We start from the raw sequence: 25,175 nt of genomic DNA, 5'->3' as shown, positions 1-25,175 counted from the left end.
CTCTAATAATCAGTAATGTTGAGCTTTTTTACATGTTGTTGGCGGCATGTATGACTTCTTTTAAAAAGTGTCTATTCAGGTACTGTTCCCATTTTTTAATGGGGTTGATTGATTTTTCTTGTAAATTTAAGTTCCTTATAGATGTTGGGTAATAGAACTTTGTCAGATGCATAGTTTGCAAATATTTTCTCCCTTTCTGCAGGTTGTCTGTTTTCTTTGTTGATAGTTTCTTTTGCTCTGTAGAAGCTCTTTAGTTTAATTAGATCCCATTTGTTTATTTTAGCTTTTGTTCCAATTGCTTCTGACATCTTCATCATGAATTTTTTTTCCAGTTTAAATGTGCAGAATGGTATTGCCAAGGTTGTCTTCCAGGGTTTTCATAATTTTCGGTTTTACATGTAAGCCTATAATCCATCTTGAGTTGATTTTTGTACATGGGGTAAATAAGGCGTCCTGTTTCAATCTTCTGCATATGGCTAGCCAGTTATCCCAGCACCATTTATTGAATAAGGAGTCCTTTTCCCATTGCTTCTTTTTGCAGCTTTGGTGAAGATCAGATGGTTGTAGGTGTGAAGCCTTATCTCTGGGTTGTGTATTCTGTTCCATTCATCTATGAGTCTGTTTGTGTACCAGCGTCAAGCTGTTTTGGTTACTATAGCCCTGTAGTATAGTTCAAAGTTGAGAAGCATGATGCCATCTGCTCTTCTCTTTTTGCATAGGATTGTCTTGGCTATTCAGGCTCCTTTTTAGTTCCATATAAATTTTAAAATAAGTTTTTCTGGTTCTTTAAAAAATGTAATTTGTAGTTTGATAAGATTAGGATTGAATTTATAAATTGCTTTATGAAGTATGGTCATTTTTACAATGTTGATTCTACCCATCCATGAGCATGGGATGTGTTTCTATTTGTTTGGGTCATCTCTGATTTCCTTGAACAATGTTTTGTAGTTCTCCTTGTAAAGATCTTTCACTTCCCTGATTAGCTGTATTCGTTAAGTATTTCATTCTTTTACTGGCAATTGTGAATGGGATGTTGTTTCTGATTTGGCTCTCCACTTAGCTATTGTTAACTTACAGAAATGCTAGTAATTTTTCTATATTAATTTTATATTTTGAAATTTTGCTGAAGTTGTTCATTAGCTTCAGGAGCTTTTGGGCCACGACTATAAGGTTTTCTAGATATAGAATCAAGTCATTTGAAAACAGGGACATTTTTACTTCTTCTCTTTCTATTTGAATGTATTTTATCTTTTCCTTTTGCCTGATTGTTCTGGCCAGGACTTCTAATATTATGTTGAATAGGAGTGGCTAGAGAGAGTATCCTTGTCTTGTGCCGGTTTTCAAAAAGAATGCTTTCAGCTTTTATGCATTCGGTATGATGTTGGCTGTGGGTATGTCATAAATGGCTCTTATTTTGATGTATGTTCCTCCAATATCTATTTGTTAAGAGTTTTAAAAATGAAGGAATCTTTTATTTTGTTGAAAGCCTTTCTGCATCTATTGAGATGATCATGTGGCTTTTTCCTTTAGTTCTTTTTATGTGATGAATCACATTTATTGATTTGCATATATTGAACCAACATTGCAGCCAGGGACAAAGCCTATGTCATTATGGTGGATTAGCTTTTTGATATGTTACTGGATTCTATTTGCTAGTATTTAGTTGAGATTTCCGGAGCATTTTCTTAGTCTTAAATTACATTTTTATTACACTGTGGTACAAGAGAGTTGTTGGTATAATTTTCGTTCTTTTGCATTTGCTGAGAAATGTGTTATGTCTAATTGTATGTTTAATTTTAGAGTATGCATCATGTGCAGATGAGAAGACGGTATATTCTGTTGTTTTGGAGAGGAGAATTCTGTCTATCAATCCATTAATTCCAGTGATGAATTAAGGTGCTGAATATGTTTGTTAATATTCTGGCTCTATAATCTGTCTAACATGGTCAGTACTGTTAGTGGAGTGTTGAAGTCTCCCACTGTTATTGTGTTGGAGTGTTAAGTCTCTCTCTCTTTTTGTTTTTTTTGTTTGTTGGTTTTTTGTTTTTGAGACAGTGTCTCACTCTCTTGCCCAGACTGGAGTGCAGTGGTGTCTTCTCGGCTCATCGCAACCTCCACCAACCAGGTTCAAGCAATTCTCCTGCCTCAACCTCCCAAGAAGCTGGGATTACAGGCGTGTGTCACTACTAATTTTTGTATTTTTAGTAGAGACAGAGTTTCACTCTGTTGGCCAGGCTGGTGTCGAACTCCTGACCTTAAATGATCCACCCTGCTTGGCCTCCCAAAGTGCTGGGATTACAGGGGTGGGCCATTGTACCCGACCTCTTTTTTTTTTTTTTTTTTGAGATGGAGTTGTGTTCTGTTGCCCAGGCTGGAGTGCAGTGGCACAATCTCAGCTCACTGCAACCTCTGCCTCCTGGGTTCAAGGGATTCTCCTGCTTCAGCCTCCCAAGTAGCTGGGATTACATGTGCCCACCAGCACACCCAGCTACTTTTTGTAATTTAGTAGAGATGAGGTTTCACCATGTTGGCCAGGCTGGTCTTGAACTCCTGACCAAAAGTGATTCACCTGCCTCAGCCCCTCAAAGTGCTGAGATTACAGATGTCAGTCACTGTTCCCGGTCTTGGAGCAGTCCTTTGAATGTCTGTGAAAATTTGTTTCATGAATCCAGATGCTCCTGTCTTGTGTGCATATATATTTAAGATAGGTATAACTTCTTGTTGAATGGAACCCTTTACCATTATGTAATACCCTTCTTTTAAAAAAAATTGTTGGCTTAATATCTGTTTTATCTGAAATTAAGTCTGCAACTCCCACTATTTTCCGTTTTCCATGTGCTTGGTAGATTGCTAGATTTTTCTCCATCCCTTTATTTTGAGCTTGATATGGTTTGGCTGTGTCCCCACCCAAATCTTATCTTTAATCCCCATGCGTTGTGGAAGGCACTGGGTGCGAGGTAATTAAATCATGAGGCAGGTGTCTCTTGTGCTGTTCTCCTCATGATAGTGAATAAGTCTTACAACATCTGATAGTTTTAAAAATGGGAGTTTCCCTGCACAAGTTCTCTCTCTTCTCTGCTGCCATGTGAGACATGCCTTTCACCTTCTGCTATGATTGTGAGGTCTTCCCAGCCATCTGGAACTGTAAGTCCATTAAACCTCTTTTCCTTTCCAGTCTCAGGTACTTCTTTATCAGAAGTGTGAAAACTGACTAATACAGAGCTTATGGGTGTCACCAAATGTGAAATAGGCCTCTTGAGGACAGCATTCCATTAAGTCTTGCTTCTTTGTCCAGTTTGCCACTCTGTGCCTTTTAATTGTGGCACATAGCCTGTTTACATTGAAGGTTAGCATTGATGTGTGAGGATTTGATCCTGTTATTGTTTTATTAGCTGTTTAATATACTGACATTTGTGTGTGGTTGCTTTATAGTGTCGCTGGTCTGTGTACTTATATGATTTTTTGTAGTGGCTGGTAATGGATTTTTTTCTTTCCAGATTAAATGCTTCTTACAGGAGCTCTTGAAGGCAAATGTGATCACAAATTTCCTCAGAATTTGCTTGTTTGAAAGGTAAATTATTTCCCCTTTGCTTATAAAGCTTAGCTATTCCACATATAGAATTAAACTTTATTTTCTTCAAGAATTTTGAATATAGACCCTCAATCTCCTCTCACTTTTAGGGTTTCTGCTGAGAAGTGCACTATTAGTCTAATGGGCTTCCCTTTGAATGTGACCTGTCCTTTCTCTCTAGCTGCCTTTAATAGTTTTTTCTTTCATTTGACCTTGGAGAATCTGATAATTATGTGTCTGTGGAATAATTTTTGTGAAGTATTTTGTGGTAGTTCCCTGCATTTCCTGAGTTTGAATGTGGGCTTTCTAAGCTAGATTGGGGAAGTTCTCTTGAATGTTATTCTGAAATATGTTTTCCAATTTGCTTCCATTCTCCCCATCTTTTACAGATACACCAGTGAGTTGTAGAATCTTATACATAATTCCACATTTCTCCAAAGCCTAGTGCATTTCTTTTTCTTCTTTTATTTTCACTCTTTTCAGAAACCCAATCTCCAAGTGCTGAGATTTTTTCTTTTCCTTGGTCTATTCTTCTGTTCATTCTTTTTTTTTTTTTTTTTTTTTTTTAACGGAGTCTCGCTCTGTCGCCCAGGCTGTAGGACAGTGGCATGATCTCGGCTCACTGCAACCTCTGCCTCCCAAGTTCAAGTGATTCTCCTGCCTCAGCCTCCTGAGTAGCTGGGACTACAGGCATGCACTTCTAGGCCCAGTTAATTTTTGTGTTTTTAGTAGAGACAGGGTTTTACCATGTTGGTTGGCCAGGATGGTATCGATCTCTTGACCTCGTGATCCACTGCGCCCAGCCTCTTCTGTTCATTCTTGTGATTGCATTGTGAAATTCTTGTAGAGTGTTTTTTAGCTCTATCCGTCTGGTTACATTCTTTTCTATACTGGCTATTTTGTCCATCAGCTCCTGTATCATTTTATTGTGATCCTCAGCTTCTTTAGATTGGGTTTCTACATTCTTCCAAATCTCGATGATCTTCATTCCTATCCATGTCCAGAACCTCACTTCTGTCATTTCAGCCATCTCAGCTCATCTAAGAACTTCTGCTGGAGAACTAGTGTGATGGTTTGGAGGAAAGAAGACACTCTGGCTTTTTGAGTTGTTAGAGTTCTTGTACAGGTTCTTTCTCATCTTGTGGGCTGATGTTCCTTCAAACTTTGAAGTTGACTTCTTTGGATTTTTTTTGTTGTTCTTTACCTTATATGATGATCTTGGGGTATTTGCAACTAAGGCTGTGATGGCAGTGATAGCATGGCTAGAGGGGTAAGGGTCCCCCTCGGACAACTGTGTAAGCATTCATGCTGGTGGTTGTTTTAGCATGAGGGCAGGGTGCTGAGGAGCGCAGGACTGTTTGCATCCTTCATGCTGTGTACATTCAGGCTGGTGATGGTGGCTGCTCAGGGTTGAGGGTGTGTTTACTGTTTTCTGTGCCTAGTTTCGCACTGGCAACTGTATCAGCTCAGGGACATGCTTCTGGCAGAGGCAGAGCTGGTGAGTTCCATGCCTGCTAATGCTCTGATGACAATGGTGATGGAGCAGGGCAAGTGGATGTGAGGTGGACTCATCTGGTAGCAGTGGCATGGTAGCTCAGGGGCATGGTGCTGGCAGAGGCAGAGCTGGTGACCACTATGCCTGCTAATGCTCTGATGAAAATGGTGGTGCAGCAGGGTAAGCAGATGTGAGGTAGGCTCATTTGGCAGCAGTAGCATAGCAGAGTGCATGTGCACACATGTGCTGGCAGGGAAAGGAAAGTAAGGGCTGCCTGAGTTCACAAGCACTGGCAAAGTGATGTGGGGAGTGGCTGTGGGCTAGTGCCTGTAAGCAAATTGGCACAAGGGAAGCTGCAGTGAGGGAAGGTCACAGGTTGGCTGTTTCATGTCCATGGGTTCTTCTCTGCTGGAGCACTCTGTTGATCTGGTGCCATCCACCAGCACAGGAGCTATGATGCTGGCTCGCAGAAGGTACCTAGGGGCTGCACTGTAAGCAGACATGGCGAGGCTGGGGCCCTGAGAGAGGCCAGCCTACCAAAGGGTGCTCAGGTTGGACCAGCCCCTCTCATGGGCAAAACATCCCTGCAGGGTTCAGGTCTGGCAGTTCCCATAGAGCTAAAGCCTCCTCTGGGAGCAAATGTAGGCTAGAGGAATGGGTGTCTTAGGCTGTGTTCCACTACAGATGCTCTCACGCCAAACAACTGGGCTCTACCCCAACTGAAGTTTTGCCCCTGTCACTTCTCTAAGCAGGTTTCTTTGACAACTTGTGTCCATGGAGTTCCATGGGTCTCCTCCTGGCAGGATTCCAGGGACCTGTGATAAAAGCGAGTTGATCCTTGCCTTTTCAACTCACCCCCTCCGCAGAAGTCGTTGGAGGCCAGGAACGCATCCTGGTGTATGGTAGCCCTGTGCAGAGTTCCCAGATTCCTCCCACTTCAGCCTAGCATCTGTGTCTTCCTTCTGTTTACTCTCAATGCTTTCCCTTTGAATATCTGCTGGGAGTGCACCTGTCTTCCCAATGTCCCTGTCCTTCAGTGCCGGATATTCCTCCTGGCTACATCTAGTCGGCCATCTTGGGGCTCCTCCCTCATTTTGCTTCTATATATTGTAAACACTTATATATTGTAAGCCCCTAATACATACTGTTGACTTAATTAACCCCTGCGCATTCTACACTTAAGCATTACTTCCTTAGGATGGTTTCTCTGCCTCCACAGCTTAAATCAGTTTTCTTTGTTTTATACTTTTATAGTGTCATTTCTCTGTGTTTGTTTGAAATTATTTTTGTCAGTTTTTTCTCTTAGTTTTATTAAGATATAATCCACACACCATAAAACTGAACTTCTTAATAGTGTACAATTCACCAAATTTCAGGATATTCACAGATATATCTCCCCTAAAAAACCATACATACATATATATATATATTTCAGCAGATACCTTTTATTCTCCAGCTACCTCTACCCCTCTACTTCTCCCTCCAACACACATGGCTTGGCAGCCGTTTAGCTTCTTCAATTTAATCTCTATTCTGGATATTTTACATAAATGGAATTACATAATATGTGTATTTTGTGACTAGCTTGAATTTGAATTTTAAAACTTTTGTATCACCAGACAAGAATACAAGAATTCTGAACTGAAGCTCTATTTTCTTATTTGTGAAATAAAGAAAATAATAACTCTTGGGACAGTTGTAAGTAATAAATAAAATAATAATATGTTAAAGCAGGCAGTACAGTGTCTAGCATACAGAAATTGCCAAATAAAATTTGGGTTGATTTTTTAGAACAATTCTAAGGCAGCTATCCCAAGTCTTTATGCCAGATGCTTTCCCCATGTCTTTCTGTGCAAAGGGCAAAGGGATGCTTTACTCAAGCTGTATTTATCAATTAAAATGGCTTTTTTCTTTTATTTTTAGTTGGCATGTAATAATTGTACATACTTATAGAATACAGAGTTAAATTTTGATACATATATGCAATGTGCAATGATCAAATGTTAGTTTTAATTATGCATAATTTCTGTTATGTTGTTGATGCCTACATCTGCCACTAGATTGTAAACTGCATATTGGCAGTGACTGAGTGACTAAGTCTGCGTTTTTTCAAAATTTTTCCCTGGCAGCCAGTACCAGTTTTTGACACATAATATTGTCTCTAGAAGTATTGATTGAATAGATTACTGAATGAAAAGTGTGTGTGTATGTGTGTGTGTGGGTGGGTGGGTGGGTGTGTAAATACAAGGGTATATGGCAGATAGAGATTACTAATGATATGTTTACCAAGAACATGGTTACCAACAAAAGTCATAGCTTGGATATTACTGATATAGTCATAGTAGAAACAAGCATTTCAAAATAAGAAGCAGCTAAGGCCCCAGGCAAGGAAAGTTTTACCAAGTGAGTCAGAAAAGGAGCTCAGCAAAATTTGCTGCACTGGAACATAAATTGCATGAGGCCTTTCATCTGGAACTAATTATAGTCTACCCAGAAATCTATTTATCTGAGGCAGAGTGTGGCTTCATTTAAATAATCTGCTACTATATATTTTCTTGCTTTTTAGATTTTCAGGTGAGTGCCAACTTTCTTTGTATTCCTCTTTCTTAAAGACAATGTGCATGGCAAAATTCTACAGGAGATGTTTATTCTTTTATGGGGGTTTAGGTCCTCCCTCAGTTTGGTAGACTACATCTTATCTTAGTATTTGTGATTCATTCATTAGAGTGTCTCAATTCTACAGTCTCCGGTATTTATTTGAGATTCCAGCAGAAAACTCTGTGAACTATATGTTAACAACTCCATCCTCTTAAGAAATCTTGTACACTCTCATGGCTTCCACAACCTATCAGATCTCAGGCTTCTACCATAACCTAAGTAAATTGTTTCCAAATACAGCAATTATTAGTATTAGTCCATTATCACATTGCTATAAAGAACTACCTGAGACTGGGTAATGTATACAGAAAAGAGGTTTGATTGGATCACAATTCTGCAGGCTGTACAGCAAGCATGGCTGGGTAGGCCTCAGGAAACTTACAATCATGTTGAAAGGCAAAGAGGAAGGAGGCACGTCTTACATGGCTGGAACAGGAGGAAAAGAGAATAGGAGGAGGTGCTACACACTTTTATATGAGCAGATCTCATGAGAACTCACTCCCTATTATGAGAACAACAAGAGGAAACTCTGCCACCATGATCTAATGACCTCCCACCAAGCACCTCTTCCAATATTGGGGATTACAATTTGGCAAGAGATTTGGGCAGTGACACAAATCCAAACCATATAATTCTGCCCAGGCTCCTCTCAAATCTCATGTCCTTCTCAAATTGCAAAACACAGTCATGGCTTCCCAGCAATCCTCCACAGTGTTAAATTATTTAAGCATTAACTCAAAAGTCCACAATCCAAAGTCTCATCAGAGACAAGGCAAGTCCCTTCTGCCTATGAACCTATAAAATCAAAATCAAGGTAGTTAATTCCAAGAGACAATGGGGATACAGGCATTGGCTAAATAGTGCTGCTCCAAAAGGAAAATATATGCCAAAACAAGGGGGCTACAGGCCTCATGCAAGTCTGAAACTAAACAGTGCAGTCATTAAATCTTAAAACTTCAAAATAATCTCCATTGACTCCATCTTTCACACTCAGGCCCCCTAATACAAGGGGTGAGTTCTCAAGGCCTTGGGCATCTCCACATATGTGTCTCTGCAAGGTACAGCCGCCTCAGCTGCTTTTATGGGCTGACATTGAGTGCCTGAAGTTTTTCCAGGTGCACAGTTCAAGCTGTCAATGTACCTGCCAGTCTGGGGTCTGGAGGAGAGTGGTCCTCTTCTCACAGCCCCCCTAGGCAGTGACCCAGTGGGGAATATGTGTGGGGGCTCCAACCCCACATTTGTTCTCCACACTGCTCTAGTAGAGGTTATCCATGAGGGCTCTGACTCTGCAGCAGACTTTTTCCTGGACATCCAGGCATTTCTATACATACTCTGAAATATAGGTGGAAGCTGCCAAGCCTCAACTCTTGCCCTTTGTGCACCCACAGGCTTAACATCAGGTGGAAGCCACCAAGGCTTACAGTTTGCACCCTCTGAAGCAATGGCCCAAGCTGTACCTTGCCCCCTTTTAGCCACAGCTGAAGCTGGAGCAGCTGGGATGCAGGGAGCAGTGTCCCGAGGTTGCACAGGGCAGCAGGGCCTTGGGTCCTGCCCATGAAATCATTATTTTCTCCTAGGCCTCCAGGCATGTGAGGCGAGTACTGCCATAATGGTTTCTGAAGTGCCTTTGAGGCATTTTCTCCACTGTCTTGGCTATTAACATTTGGCTCCACTTTACTTTTGCAAATTTCTGCAACTTGCTTGAATTCTTCCTTGAAAATGGACTTTTTTTTTCCCCATATGACTGGGCTGCAAATTTTCTCAACTTTCACAATATCTGCTTCCCTTTTAAATATAATTACCAGTTTCAGAATATCTCTTTGCTCACATATATAAGCTCATACTGTTAGAAGCAGCCATACCATATTCTGAATGTTTTGCTGCTTAGAAATTTCTACTGCCAGATACCCTGAATCATCTTTCTCAAGTTCAAGATTCCACAAATCTCTAGAGCAGGGTCATAATGCCTCCAATCTCTTTGCTAAGTGTAACAAAACTGACCTTTTCTCTAGTTCCCAATAAGTTCCTTATCTCTATCTGAGAGCGCCTAAGCCTGGACTTCATTGTCCATACCACTGTTAGTATTTTGGTCACAAAAAAATTTAACAAGTCTCTAGGAAGTTCCAAACTTTCCCTTATCTTTCTGTCTTCTTCTGAGCCCTCCATATTTTTTCAACCTCTGCCTGTCACCCAGTTCCAAAGCCACTTCCACATTTTCAATTATCTTTATAGCAATGCCCCACTCCTGGTACCAATTAGTCCATTCTCACATTTCTATATTAGCCCGTTCTCACATTTCTATAAAGAACTACCTGAGACTGCATACTTTATAAAGAAAAGACTTTAATAGGCTTACAGTTTCATAGGCTGTGCAGGAGCATGGCTGGGGAAGCCTCAGGAAACTTACAATCATGGTGGAAGGTGAAGAGGGAGGAGAAATGTCTTACATGGCCCCAGCAGAAGAAAAAGAGAGAAGGGAGAGGTGCTACATACTTGTGAACAAACAGATCTTGTGAGAACTCACTATTATGGGAACAGCAGGGGGGAAGTCTGCCCCCATGATCCAATCATCTCCCACCAGGGGAGGTCCAATATTAAAGATTAGAAGTTAACATGAAATTTGGGGGGAGCCACAAATTCAAGCCATATCAACAGTTAATTCTCACTTTCCATGTTTCTGATATACATAAATTTAAGTTACCATAATTTAGTTAAATAATCTCACTAACATGATTCATTATTGTATTTTTACTAAGAATAATTGCATAAAGTACAAACATCACTGCTAGTTCTTTAGTTTCCAGATCACTATGTGAGCAACAGATGCACATCATCATTAGTGGCCAATCACAACACATTTTCAAGCTCTCTTTGTAATTGCTCGCTTCATGTCTGTTTTTCAGATTGTACACATATACACAGAAAGTGTGCAGATAGGTTGCCTCTTTGTCTCAAAGTGACTAATCCATTGACATTGTGCAAAAATGGATGAAGAGGAATTTAAGCAACAAAAATGGAAGTACAGAAAAGTGATAATGTTGAAAGTAAAAATTTGAGTAGAATATAAATACATTTATAGAAGAAATAGCTGATGGTTTGAAAGTTAATACTATAGATATGCAGTCAGAGGAACTTAATGAAGGTTAAATTATTGACATAATTGCAGGAAGTGATTGTGCTGAAAAAAGATTCCCCAGAGGAAGTGAAATTAGAAAAAAGTTCCACATTAAAATAATACTTAGAAACTTTTTTTTTTTTTTTTTTTTTTTTTTTTTGAGACGGAGTCTCGCTCTGTCGCCCAGGCCGGACTGCGGACTGCAGTGGCGCAATCTCGGCTCACTGCAAGCTCCGCTTCCCGGGTTCACGCCATTCTCCTGCCTCAGCCTCCCGAGTAGCTGGGACTACAGGCGCCCGCCACCGCGCCCGGCTAATTTTTTGTATTTTTAGTAGAGACGGGGTTTCACCTTGTTAGCCAGGATGGTCTCGATCTCCTGACCTCATGATCCACCCGCCTCGGCCTCCCAAAGTGCTGGGATTACAGGCGTGAGCCACCGCGCCCGGCCAGAAACTTTTAACAGCATTAAAAATATACGAATAAAATTCAGGAAACTGATCCAAACTTAGAAAGAAGTGTTACCATTCAGCAAGATGCTTGCCAAATTGTATGCTTCAATTGTATGTAAAAAAGATGCTTGCTTTGTATTATGACTGTTTAAACTTATGGTATTAAACATATAAATTATTTAATATTTTATTACAAAGTTCTAAATAAATATTAGTTTTGTCAGTTTAAAAGTTTCTCTATACACATATCACAGACAGTAAGAGAGTGTTTAATGTTTTAATATATAAGTTTTAAAAAATTTAACTCTGTAGTTGTTACATTTTATACATTCTTTACTCACCTACATGCATTTTTATTAGTTTTAATTCTGGTAAAATACACGTAACATAAAATTTACCATCTTAACCATTTTTAAGTGTACATTGTTGTACAACCATTACTGCTATCTTTTTAACATTCTCCATTTTTTAGAACTGAAATTCTGTACCCATTAAGCAATAACTCTCTATACCTATTTCTCTGTAGCCCAAACAATGAGCATTCTACTTTCTGTATCCCTGAATTTCGCTACTCTAAGTAACTCAGTAAGTGAAATCAGAATGTGTCTTTTGTTACTGGCTTATTTTACCCAGCACAATTTTCTTGAAGTTCATCCACACTGTAGTATGTGTCAGAATTCCCTTAATTTTTAAAGCTGAATAATATTTCATTATATATATATATATATACTACATTTTGTTTATCCTTTCATCTGCCAATGGATATTTGGGTTGCTTCCACCTTTTGGTTACTGTGAGTAGTGTTTCTAAAAAATATTGATGTACAAATATCTCTTTAGGTTCATGATTGTAATACTTTGGGGTATATACACAGATGTACTGGATCATTTCGTATTTCCATTTTTAATTATTTGAGGAACTACAGTACTGTACTTCATAGCAGCTGCACATTTTACATTTCCACGAACAGTGTCCAAGAGCTATAATTTCTCCACATCCTGGCCAACACCGTTATTTTCTGATTTTTAAAAATAATAGCTATCCTAAAGAGTGTGAGGTGGTATCTCATTGTAGTTTTGATTTGCGTTTCTCTAATAATTAGTAATGTTTTCACCATTTTTATGTGCTTATTGGTCATTTATGTATATTTTGGGAAAATGTTTAGTCAATTCCTTTGCCAAATGTTTATTCAAGATGCTTTGTTTTGGTTGTTGAGTTGTAGGAGTTTTTAATATATTCTTGCCAAATCTAATGTCATTAAGGTGTGTGATTCACAGTCTTAAAAGACAGAATTCTGAAGAACATAATCCCAAATGCTGAAATTCTGAAAGATCAAAGTCTCTAAATTCTAAATCCTAAAATTCTACAATTACTAATGTCTTAAATCCTAAAAATCAGAATCCTGAAAGATTAAAATTCCAAATGCTGAAATTCTAAATTCTAAATTCTGTGGAGAAATAAGTGTGTCTCCAGTTACACCCAGGATAGTTGCATCATGTTAGGCAGAACTATTGCATTGGCATTGTCTTTATTTGCATTTCGTAAAAAATTGTGTTTAGTAAATTTGCTACAAAATTCTGCAATAATGCAAACTTCAGTTTAAAAATCATCTTTTGTCAGCACTGGCATTCTTTTGAGCTGATTAAACTTCAGGGGCTTTTAATTACTCAAAGCTACATTGGCCTGAAGAAGCCAGCAAAGTTACTGACTGGTTCAAAAATAATTATGTGAGGTAGAAAAATGACACAGATACTGTGATTGAAGGGGAAGGAAGCTGGGAAGCCTGCTTAGCCACCAGGCACCAGAAGTGGCCTCCTGCTCCAAACCAGACCAAAGAAAGGTGTGAGTGAAAGAACCCCACAATACTGCACTCCCACCACAGACCTCTGTGATTCTAGATATGGGATTTCTCACAATTCTCATAGAACTTTGAAATAGCAGGAAGACCCACCCTGGAAACTTGCACAGGCAGAGCTTGAACCCACATGGAGACTATCAAACTACCAATATAATTTTTCACAGAAATATATAAAAAATTCTAAAATTTATATGAAACCAAAAAGATCCCAAATAACCAATTCAATCCTAAGCAAAAAGAACAAAGCCAGAGGCATCAGATTACCTATCTTTGAACAATAATATAAGGCTAAGGTAATCATAACAGCATGGAACTGGTACAAAAATCAAACACATAGACCAATGGAGCAGAATAGAGAACAGAGAACTAAAGCTTCACACCTATCACCATCTGACCTTCAACAAATTCAACAAAAATAAGCAATGGGGGAAAGACTCCTTATTTAATAAATGGTGTTGGGATAGCTGGCTAGCCCCATGCAGAAGAAAAAGCTGGACTCCTACCTTTCACTATATACAAAAATTAACTCAAGATGGATTAAATATTTAAGTGTATAGAAACTCAAACTATAGAAATCCTAGAAGAAAACATGGGAAACACCATTTCCCACACTGGCCTTCAGGAAACAAACAAACAAACAAAAACTTATGACTGAGTTCCCAAAAGCAATTGCAACAAAAAGAGAAATTTTCATCTGGGACCTAATTAAGCTAAAGAGCTCTGCCCAGCAAAGGAAACTAACAGAATATACCGACAACCTCCAGAATGGGAGAAAATATTTACAAACTATGCATACAATAAAGATCTAATATCCAGAATCTATAAGGAACTTAATTTAACAAGCATAAAACAAATAACTGCATTAAAAAGTGGGCAAAAGACATGACCAGACACTTCTCAAAAGAAGACAAACAAGCAGCCAATAGTCATGAAAAAATGCTCAGCATCACTAATGAACAGAGAAATGCAAATCAAAAGTACAATGAGATGCCATCTCACAACAATCAGAATGACTTGTTAAAAACTCAAAAAACAACAGATGTTGGTAAGGCTGCAGAGAAAAGGGATCTCTTATAAAATGTTGGTGGGGATATAAATTAGTTCAGTCACTATGGAAAGCAGTTTGGAGATTTCTCACAGAACTTAAAATAGAACTACCATTCAAAAAAGCAATCTCATTACTAGATATACACCCAAAGAAAAATAAAGTCTTCTACCAAAAAGACACATGCACTTGTGTATTCATCACAGCACTATTCATAATTACAAAGACATGGAACCAGCGTAAGTACCCTTCAATGGTAGATTGGATAAAGAAAATGCAGTACATATTCACCATGAAATACTACAAAGCCCTTTTAAAAAAAGAGATGATACCCTTTGCATCAACATGAATGCAGCTGGATGGCATTATTCTAAGTGAATTAATGTGGGAACAGAAAGCAAATATTGCATGTTTTCACTTATAAGTGGGAATTAAATATTGTGTACTCATGGACATACAGATGAATACAGTAGACACTTGGGACTACTAAAGGGGGGACATAGGCAGGTGGGGAAATCCTTGGAAAAGTAACTACTGGGTACTATTTTCACTATCTGGGTGATAGGACTTTTCATATTTCAAACCTCAACCTCCCACAATTTACCCATGTAAAAAACCTGCACATCTATGACCTATTTGTACATCTACATTTTGGAAAAATAAAATTTCTAGAAATCTTGCTTCTTTGGATGAATGCATAAGTTGCGATGAGCATTATGGATTTTGATCATTCTGTGAAAAGACTTAGGTTGTCTATCACATTTTAGATAACCAAAGTTATAAACCTGAGTGTACGTGATTACCAAACTTAGCAATATTCATTTATATTTTCTGCTTTTTGACGTATTTCTATGTAAACATGCTTTATCTGCTCATAAATTTTATACACATGCAACTCTCCTTAGGCTACTTGAGTGTTTATCCTTACAAAAATATGTATGTTTTTATTATCTGTTTTATTATGTAATATGTCCTATGAAGTTTTCTCTCATGTTTTTATGTTTCTCAAATAAATATACATTTAATCATGTAAATAAATATATTTTACAGATTTTCAAACATTATTTTTCCAGAATAATATTTTTGGGATTTGATCTTTCAGGATTTTAACATTAAGGATTTTGGCATTTGAGATTGTTTCTTTTGGTTCTTTTGGGATTATGAATGACTCACCATGAAGTTTTACCTCCTATCTTTTCTTCTAAGAGTTTTTAATTTTGGCTTTTGTTTTTAGGACTTTTATCTATTTTAAATTATTTTTTGTTTACTATGTGGGATAAAGGGCCCAACTTCCTTCTTTTGCATGTGAATATGTTGTGACCAAAAAACATGTTTTTAAAAGACAGTCCTTTCTCTATTAAACGGCACTTACACTCTTGTCAAAAAACATTTGACCATATATGTGAAGCTTAATTTCAGGCTCTCTACTTTATTCAAATGGTCCATAGGTCTATCTTTATGCCAAAATGACATTGATTTGAATATTTTGGCTTTTCATTAACTTTTGAAATGAAGAATTATAAGAAACCGATATTTGTTCATCATATAAAATAATGATTTTGCTATTAGAGATCTAATGATATTTCAAATAGATGTTAACATAGGTTTTTTTCTATTTCTTGCAAAAAGTGTCACTGGGATTTTGTTAGGGATTGCATTGGATCTGCAGATAGTTTTGAGTAACTTTGGCATGTTAAGAATATTAAATCTTCCAATTCAAGAAGAGAAACTTTTATTTGTGTCATCTTAAATTTTTTCAGCTATATTTTATAGTTTTCAGTGTTTAAATTTTTGCCTCTTTGGTTATTTATTACTATTTTGTTTATTTTGATACTATTGGCAATAATATTGATTTATTAATTTCTTTTTAAAATTTATATTTTCTTTTAGATTAAAGGGTACATGTGCATGTTTGTTTTATGGGTACATTGCATATTGGTGAAGATTGGGTTTCCGGTATAACCATTACTCAAATAGTAAACATTGTATCCAACAAATAATTGTTCAATCTTCACTCTGCTCCCAATTTCTTCACTTTTGGAGTCCCAACTGTCAACTTTTTTTCATCTTTATGTCTATATATACCCATTATTTACTTCCCACTTGTAATTGAAAACATGTATTTGATTTTCTGTTTCTGAGTTAGTTTAATTAAGATAATGGCTTCCAGCTGCATCCATATTTCTGCAAAAAAATATGATGCTATTCTTTTTTAAGGCTAAGTAGTATTCCATAATGTATATATCTTTTTCTTTATCCAGGCAACCATTGATGAATACTTAGGTTGGTTTCACGATTTCACAATGAGAATATTGCTGTGATGAGCAGGTGTCTTTTTTATATAGTGATTTATTTTTCTTTTGGCAGATACTCTATAATGGGATTGTTGGATCAAATGATAGTTCTATTTTTAGTTCTTTGAGAAATCTCCATACTGCCTTCCTTAGAAGTTGAACGAATTTACATTCCCACAAACTGTATAAGCATTCTCTTTTCTCCTCATTCATGCCAATAACTGTTCTTTTTCTTGACTTTTAAATAACCCTTTGAACTGGTGTAAGGTGATATCTCATTGTAGTTTTATTTTGCATTTCCCTGATGATTAGTAACTGAGTATTTTTTATGTGTTGGTTGGTCACTAGTATTTCTTCTTTGAGAAATGTCTGTTCATGTCCTCTGCTCAGTTTTTAATGGGATTTTATTTTTCTGTTTAGTTGGTTGACTTTTTGTCGATTCTTGATATTTGTCCCTTTTCAGAGGCATAATTTGCAAATATTTTCTTCCATTTGGTAGGTTGTCTGTTTACCCTGTTGATTATTTCGCTGTGTAGAAAAAATTTAGTTTAATTATGTCACATTTGTCTATTTTTTATTTTGTTGCCTTTGTTTTTGGGGTCTTCCTTATATATTATTAGCCTAGGTCAGTGTCCAGAAGGATTTTTTCTAAGTTTTCGTCTAGAATTTTTATAATTTCAAGTCTGTCATTTAAGTCCTTGATCCTTTTTGCATTAAGATTTCTTATTTTTCTTTTCAGATTTTTTTATTGTTGGTATATAGGAATGCAAGTAATTTTTGCATGCTATTTTACTGAAGTACTTTGCTTAATTCATTTATTTATTTTAATAGTTATTTTTATGGAATTTTTAAAGGTTTTTTGGTTTGCTTGATTTTTACTGTGGTAAGAACATGTAACATGAAACCTACACAGTTCATTTTTTAAGTGTAAAATGAAGTATTGTTAACTATAGTTAGAATATTGTGTAGTACTCTTGACCTTATTCATCTTGCATAGTTGAAGTTTCACATACATTAACTAGCAGCTCCACATTTTTCCTATTGTCAGTGTCTCATTATCATTATTCTACTTTCTGCTTTTATGAGTTTTACAATTTCAGATATTTTATATAAGTGGAATCATGCAGTATTTGTCTTCTGTAACTGGCTTATTTTACTTTGACTAATGCTTTTAATGTTCATTCATGTTATAGCATATGACAAGATTTCTTTCAATTTTGCTAAATAATATTACATTAGATGTATATACCACATCTTTCTTTTCATTGATGGATACTTAGATGGTTTCTACCACTTGGCTTTTGTGAGTAATTCTGCAATGATCATGGAAGTGCAAGTGTATCCTCAATATTTGTATTGTATTTATTTAGAGTAAATATCCAATGTGTGGATTGCTATATCATATGGTAGTTTTCTTTTCAATCTATTTTTTGAGAATTATCCATACTATTTTCTGTATTAATTGCACCATTTCACATCCAATTTTATGTATATATTTACATCATTTAACCTATATATTTACAGGAATTAATATATACAGATGTGAGGTATTATCTCATTGTGGTTTTTATTTGCATTTCCTTGATAATTAGAGATATTGGGCATCTTTTAATATACCTGTTGCCCATTTTAATGTATTTATTGCAGAAATGTTTAAGTTATTTGCCTGCGTGTTTTTTTTTTTTTTTTTTTTTTTTAGACAGTCTCACACTATTGCCTGGGCTGGAGTGCAATTGCACAATCTTGCTCACTGCAACCTCCACTTCCTGGGTTCAAGCGATTCTCCTGCCTCAACCTCCCGAGTATCTGGGATTATGGGCGCATGCCACCATGCCTGGTTTATTTTTTGTATTTTTTAGCAAAGACGGGGTTTCACTATATTGGCCAGGCTGGTCTCGAACTCCTGACCTTGTGATCCGCCCACCTCGGCCTCCCAAAGTGTTGGGATTACAGGCGTGAGCCACCGTGCCCGGCCATTGTTTGCCTGTTTTTTAATCATGATATTTGCTTTTTTAAAATTTGTTTTGATATCGAGGTGTAGGAGTTTATTCTACATTTGTGATATTAACCTCTAATCACATATATGATATGTCAATACTTTAGTCTATTTTGTAGATTGCCTTTTTGTTGTTCATTATTTATTTTGCTGTGCGGAAAATGTTTAGTTTGAGACCCATTTTTCTATATTTGCTTTGTTGCATTTGTTTTGGGGTCAAAATAAAAAAATCATTGCCGGCAGGGCACGGTGGCTCACGCTGTGATCCCAGCACTTTGCGAGGCCAAGGCGGGTGGATCATGAGGTCAGGAGATCAAGACCATCCTGGCCAACATGGTGAAGGCCCATCTCTACTAAAAATACAAAAATTAGCTGGGTGTGGTGGCACGCGCCTGTAGTCCCAGCTACTCGGGAAGCTGAGGCAGAAAATCGCTTGAACTGGGGAGGTGGAGGCTGCAGTGAGCCGAGATCATGCCACTGCACTCCAGCCTGGTGACAGAGTGAGACTCAATCTCAAAAAAATAAAATAAAATTTTAAGAAATCATTGCCAAATCCAATGTCATAAAGCCTTTTCTTAAGCTTTGTTTTTTTTCTAGGATTTTATAGTTTTAGATCTTTAGTTGATGTTGTGTATTTTGGAAGATAAGGGTCTAATTTTATACTTTTGCATGTGCATATCCAGTCTTCTGAGTACCATTTGGTGAAGAAACTATTTTTCCCCATTTTGTATTCTTGGTGTCCTTGACAAAGAACTGTTGACCTAATACATGTGGGTTTATTCCTAAACTCTCTATTCTGTTCTATCAATTTAGATGTCTGTCGTTATGCCAGTACCATACTCCTTTAACTACTATAGCTTTGTGATACATTTTGAAATCAGGAAGTGTAAAGAATTTAACTTTGTTCTTTCACGGGGTTGGTTTGGTTACTGGCGGTCCTTTGTGTTTTCATACAAATTTTAGGACTTATTTACTTCTTTTGTATAAAATGCCATTGAAGTTTTTGATAGAGATTGCACTGAATCTGTAGATCAATATGGGAAGTATGGAAATGTTAACAATATTAATTTTCCAAGCAATGAACACAGGATATCTTTCCATTTATTGGTGTCTTCTTTAATTTTTTTATCTTTTTTTTAGTTTTCAATATACAAGTGTATTACTTAGTTAAGTTCATTCCTAAGTAATGTATTTTTTGGATGCTAGTGTAAATAAGATTGTTTTCTTCATTTTATTTTTAGATGGTTCACAGTAATTGAATAGAAATGCGAACGATTTCTGTATGTTGATTTTGTATTCAGTAACTTTACTAAATGTGTTAATTAGTTTAAATAATTTTTATAGTCTTCAAAATTTTTTGTAATATTTAAAATTTTGCATAAGTGAACACTATTAGTAAATAGAGTTAATTTCATTTCTTATAATTTAAATACCTTCAATTTAATTTTTTTTTGCCTATTTTATTTTTGCTACAACTTCCAGTACTGTATTGAATAGAAGTGCAAGTCTGAGGATACCTTGTCCCTTGATCTTTTTCCAGAAAAGCTTTCAATTTTTCCCTAATGAGTATGATGTGAGCTAAGAGCTTTGGATATAGGGCTTTTATTGTGTTGAGGTAATTTCTTTCTATTTCCTGTTTATTGAAAGTTTTTATCATGAGTGTGTGTTGAGTTTGGTCATTGTTTTTTTTCTGTACTTATTGAGATAATTATATATATATATATATATATATATATATATATATATATTTTTTTTTTTTTTTTTTTGAGATGAAGTCTCACTCTGTTGCCCTGGCTGGAGTTCAGTGGCACAACCTCGGTTCACAGCAGCCTCTGCCTTCCAGGTTGAAGCAATTCTTTGCCTCAGCCTCCCGGGTAGCTGGGATTACAGGCGTGTGCCACAACATCCAGCTAATTTTTGTATTTTTAGTGGAGATGAAGTTTCGTCATGTTGGCCAGGCTGATCTCAAACTCCTGGCCTCAAGTGATCCACCCACCTCGGCCTCCCAAAGCGCTGGTAAACTTTACTTTGTTAAGGCTGTAAATCACAATATATTTTCATCGGTTGAAGCCTTCTTGAATCGCAGGGATAAATATCACTTCGTCATGGTGTTTGATCGTTTTAATGTGCTTTTAAAATTTTGTTTCCTAATATATTGTTGCAGATTTTTGCATCCATGTTTATCAGGGATATCAGCCTATAGGTCTTATTATATTAGTTTCTTTACCTAGTTTTGATATCAGGGTAATGCTGCTCTCATAAAATGACTCTATATGTATAAACTTTGTAAGTATAAACGTTATGAGAATCTTCATTTTGGGGGAGGAACAATTTATGAAGAAATGGTGTTCATTCTTCTTTATAAATTTGGTAAAATTTACCAGGAAAGCCTTGTGGTCCTGGGCTATTGTTTCATTGGGAGGATTTTTCTTAGTGATTCAACCTTCGTACTAGTTAGTGCTCTCTCTGGATTTACCTTCTTTATGATTATGTCTTGATTTTATTTTTGTAAGAATTTACCTATTTCTTTTAGGTTATATAATTTGTTGGTATGAAATTGTTCATGAGAGTCTCTTATAATTTTCCTGATTTCTATAAAATCAGTTACAATGCACCTTTTTTATTTCATGTATTTGAGTCTTCTTTTTTCTTAGTGAAGCGAAGATTTTAATTTTATTGATGTTTTCAGAAAACCAGTTCTTAGTATTGTAGAAATTTTTGTTTTTCTAGTCTCAATTTTATGTATCTTTGTTCTAATGTTTATTATTTCCTCCCTTGTGGAAAAGTTAAACTTCTTGTTCTGTTTTCTTGAGGTATGATGTTAGGTCATTTATTTGAGTACCTCATTTTTTTTAATGTTAGGTATAAACTTTCTTCTTAGGACTGCTTTTGCAGTTTTAGTATGTTTCATTTTGTATGTTTAGTATGTTTCATTTAGTATGTTCTCATTAGTTTTAGTATGTTTCATTCTTATTTTCATTTTTTCAAAATATTTTCTGATTATGCTTTTGATACCTTTGAACCATTTCTTATTCAGGAATTTGTTAATTAATTTCTACTTCTTTGTGAATTTTTCAGTTTTCCATCTGCTATTAATTTCTAGTTGCAGTTTATTGTGGTTGGAAACGATACTTAACATAATTTTAATCTTATTTTTCCAGTTTTATTAAATTATATTGAAAAATAAAAATCACATAAGTTCAAGGTACACAATGTGATGATTTGTTATATGTATAAATTATAAAATGGCAAAATTAATTTAAATCAAATGCATCTCCTTGTGTAGTTACCTTTTCTGTGGTGAGAATAATTAAATAGTTTTCCTTGTCACCTTTCAAGTTTACAGTGTATTATTATTAGCTATATTTACCATGCTGTACATTAGGTCTCTAGAATTTTTTATCTTATAACTCCAAATTTGTAACTTTTGACCAATATCTCTCCATTTCCTCTTCTAACCATGGTCACTTTCTTTCTGCTTTATTTTTCTTAGTTCAATTTTATAGATTCCAGATATATTGAGATCAGGAAGTATTTGTCTTCCTGGGTCTGACTTATTTAAATTGGTAAAATGTCTTTTAGTTTCATCCATTTATTTGTAAATGGCAGGACAGTTTTCAGTTTTAAAGGTAAACAACATTCTATTGTGTGTGTGTTTGTGTACACACACGAACATGTAAGATGACTTCAAAAGATATTGAAAATCAAAATTAAAAACACAAATAAAAAATTTACTTCTTAACATAAGCTCTATCAGTTTGAAAAGGCCATATTTCTGCTCATTTCTCTTGTTAAACAACAAATTTTTTGAACATTTTGATAGGAAATTATTAGACATCTACCTTAGAATTCTAATTTTGCTCCTTTTGACTTCTTTTTAATTTCTAATCTCAAAAAATTTTTAAAAAGGCCATCAATTTCAACACACCATTGTAAGTGATGATACTAGTCATTTGGTCCATCCCTAAAGTATTGAGGGTCCTGGAAGTTGATCTATGTGAGGGTCCTGGGAATTGATCTATGTCAATGCAGTCTCTTTTACATTATTAACTAAACATAAATGGGCCCCCTTTAAATATATTTTTAAATTAGAAAACAAAAAGAAGCCAAAATGAACCAAATCAAGATTTTAAGGTGGATGCCTAATAATTTTCCATGAAAATGCTCACAAACTTGCTCATTTGATGAGAGGAATTAGCAGGAACCTTTTCACACTGGTGGATGGCTCTCTGACAAAACTTTCCTGTGCATATTTTTGCTAAAGCTTTGACTAACTTTCTCAAAACACTTTCATAATAAGCAGATGTTGCTTGTTTTTTAGCCCTTAAGAATGTCAACAAGAGCAAAATTTCTTGAGCATCCCATAACTTGCTCTTTACTGTCTGCTCTTGCTTTGACTAAACCACTTCTGCTTTTTGGTAGCCATTATTTTGATTGGGCTCCATTTCCAGGATCACACTGGGAAAGCTATATTTTATCCCCTGTTACAATTTTTCAAAAAAAAGATTCAAGATATTAATCTTTTCTAAAATTTATCTTGAAATCTCTGCTCTTGTCTGCAGCTAACCTGGATTCAATGGTTTCAGCATCTATCAAGTAGAAAATTTTCTCAACTTTACCTTTTCAGTCAGAATTTTGTAAGCTGAAACAACTGAGGTGTCTATGGTGTTGACTATCATTTCTGCTGTTAATCATCAGTCTCCTCTAATTAGGGCATGAACAAAACGATTTTATTTCCTCAAACTGGTGTGGATAATCTGATGCTGCAAGCCTCATTTCCAACATTGTCCCTTCTCTTAATAAAATGAATTATCCATTTAGAAACTGCTCATTTCTTTTGGACATTTCCCCCATTAACTTTTCATGAAGCAACAATTATTTTTACCATTATTCCACCCACACTTTTTCATAAATTTGATTTTTTATTTTCAATATCAGCAGGATTCATGTTACTTTGATAGAGATGCTTTTCAAACTGATGTTTTATTCTTCTTATTGCCTCAAATTATGTCCTATTCAAACATGAATTACTATGAGTTTATTTTGGTGTAAAAATTTTAATTTATGAAGAGATTTTTTCATAATATCCATTTTCATAAATTTTTTGAAGTCCCCCGTGTGTGTGTGTTTGTGTGATATATTCTTATCGATTTATTTGTTGATGAACAATTAAATTGTTTTCATATCTTGGCTATTGTAAGTAATCCTGTAATAATATGATAGTACATATATATTTACAAAGTCCTGATTTTATTTGCTTTGGATATATACCCAGCAGTGGGACTTCTGGATAATATGGTGGTTTTACTTTTCAATTTTTTGAGGAAACTCTATACTCTTTTATAGTGGCTATACCAATTTGTATTTACACCAACAATGTATATGGGTTATCTTTTCTCAATATGTTTATCAACACTTAACTTTTGACTTTTTGATAATAGCCATCTTAGGAAGTGTGAGATAATATCCTATTGTGGTTTTAATTTTTATTTTTTTGAATAATTAGTGATGTTGAGCATTTTTATATACCTGTTGCCTATTTGCATGTCTTCTTTTTTTAAGAAGTCTATTTTGTCCTTTGCTAATTTTAAAATCAGGTTATTTGATTATTTCACCATTGAGTAGTATAAGTTATTTATATATTTTTGATATTGATCTCTGATCAGATATATAGTGCTCTGGTTTAAATGTGTTTTCTCCAAAATTCAGGTGTTGCCAATGTGACAGTATTAAGACGTGGGGCCTTTAATAAGTGATTAGACCATTACAAAGATTCTCCTTTGTAAATAGAACTAAGGCCTCTGGTGATATGAAAAAAAAGCAAACAAGAGTGTGTTTTTCCTACTTTGTACTTACCACAACAGAAGGCTTCCATCACCCCTGATGTGTGTGAGGTTTTCCCACACACACCAAACTATTCTACAGATGATTCTATGGTGGACACCAGCTGGGTGTCCTCTAATTCAATTCAACTCAATCCAATTCAATTCAATTCAATTTGATTCGATTCTGACACTATCAGTTTCAGATCCCACTGCCTGATGGCTCAGTCCCAAAGGACTGATCCCACACTATGTATGCCAGTCACAAGCACTGATTGTGACCTGTTCCTCTGACCAGCAGCTGTAAATTAAGGTTTTCAAGCCTCCCTCCTTGGGATTTATTAATTTACTTGAGTGGCTCACACAACTCAGAGAAACGCTTTACTTACATTTATTCATTTATTCTATTATGAAGGACACAAATGAACAGCTATATAGAAGAGATGCAAGTGGTGAGGTAGGGAAGAAGAGGTATACATTCCAGGCCCTCCCTGGCTGTGTGACTCTCCACATGTTCAGCTATCTTAAAGCCCTCAGAACTCAGTCCTTTTGGGTTTTGTGAAAATACTATTATGCAGGGATGATTGATTAAATTATTAGCCCTGGGCTTATCAACTCAATATTTAGCCCCTCTTCTCCTTGTGGATATTGGGTGTGGGAGTAAAAGTTTCAACACTCTAATTACATGGTTGGTTGCTCTAGCCAACAGTCCTCATTTTGAGGCTATCTATTAAATAGCAACCCCCAGCCACCTGTCATCTCATTAGGATAAAAAAGATACTCTTATTAATTTTGGTAGCTGTATGTCAGGAAATTGAGATAAAAGACAACTGTATATTTTACAATATAAGGCCCTTATATGAGAAGCTCCC

The sequence above is a fragment of the Homo sapiens genome, chromosome X (genome assembly GCF_000001405.40).
Source record: "Homo sapiens chromosome X, GRCh38.p14 Primary Assembly".
In the NCBI taxonomy this organism is placed as follows: Eukaryota; Metazoa; Chordata; class Mammalia; order Primates; family Hominidae; genus Homo; species Homo sapiens.
This window is presented reverse-complemented; position numbering follows the sequence as displayed.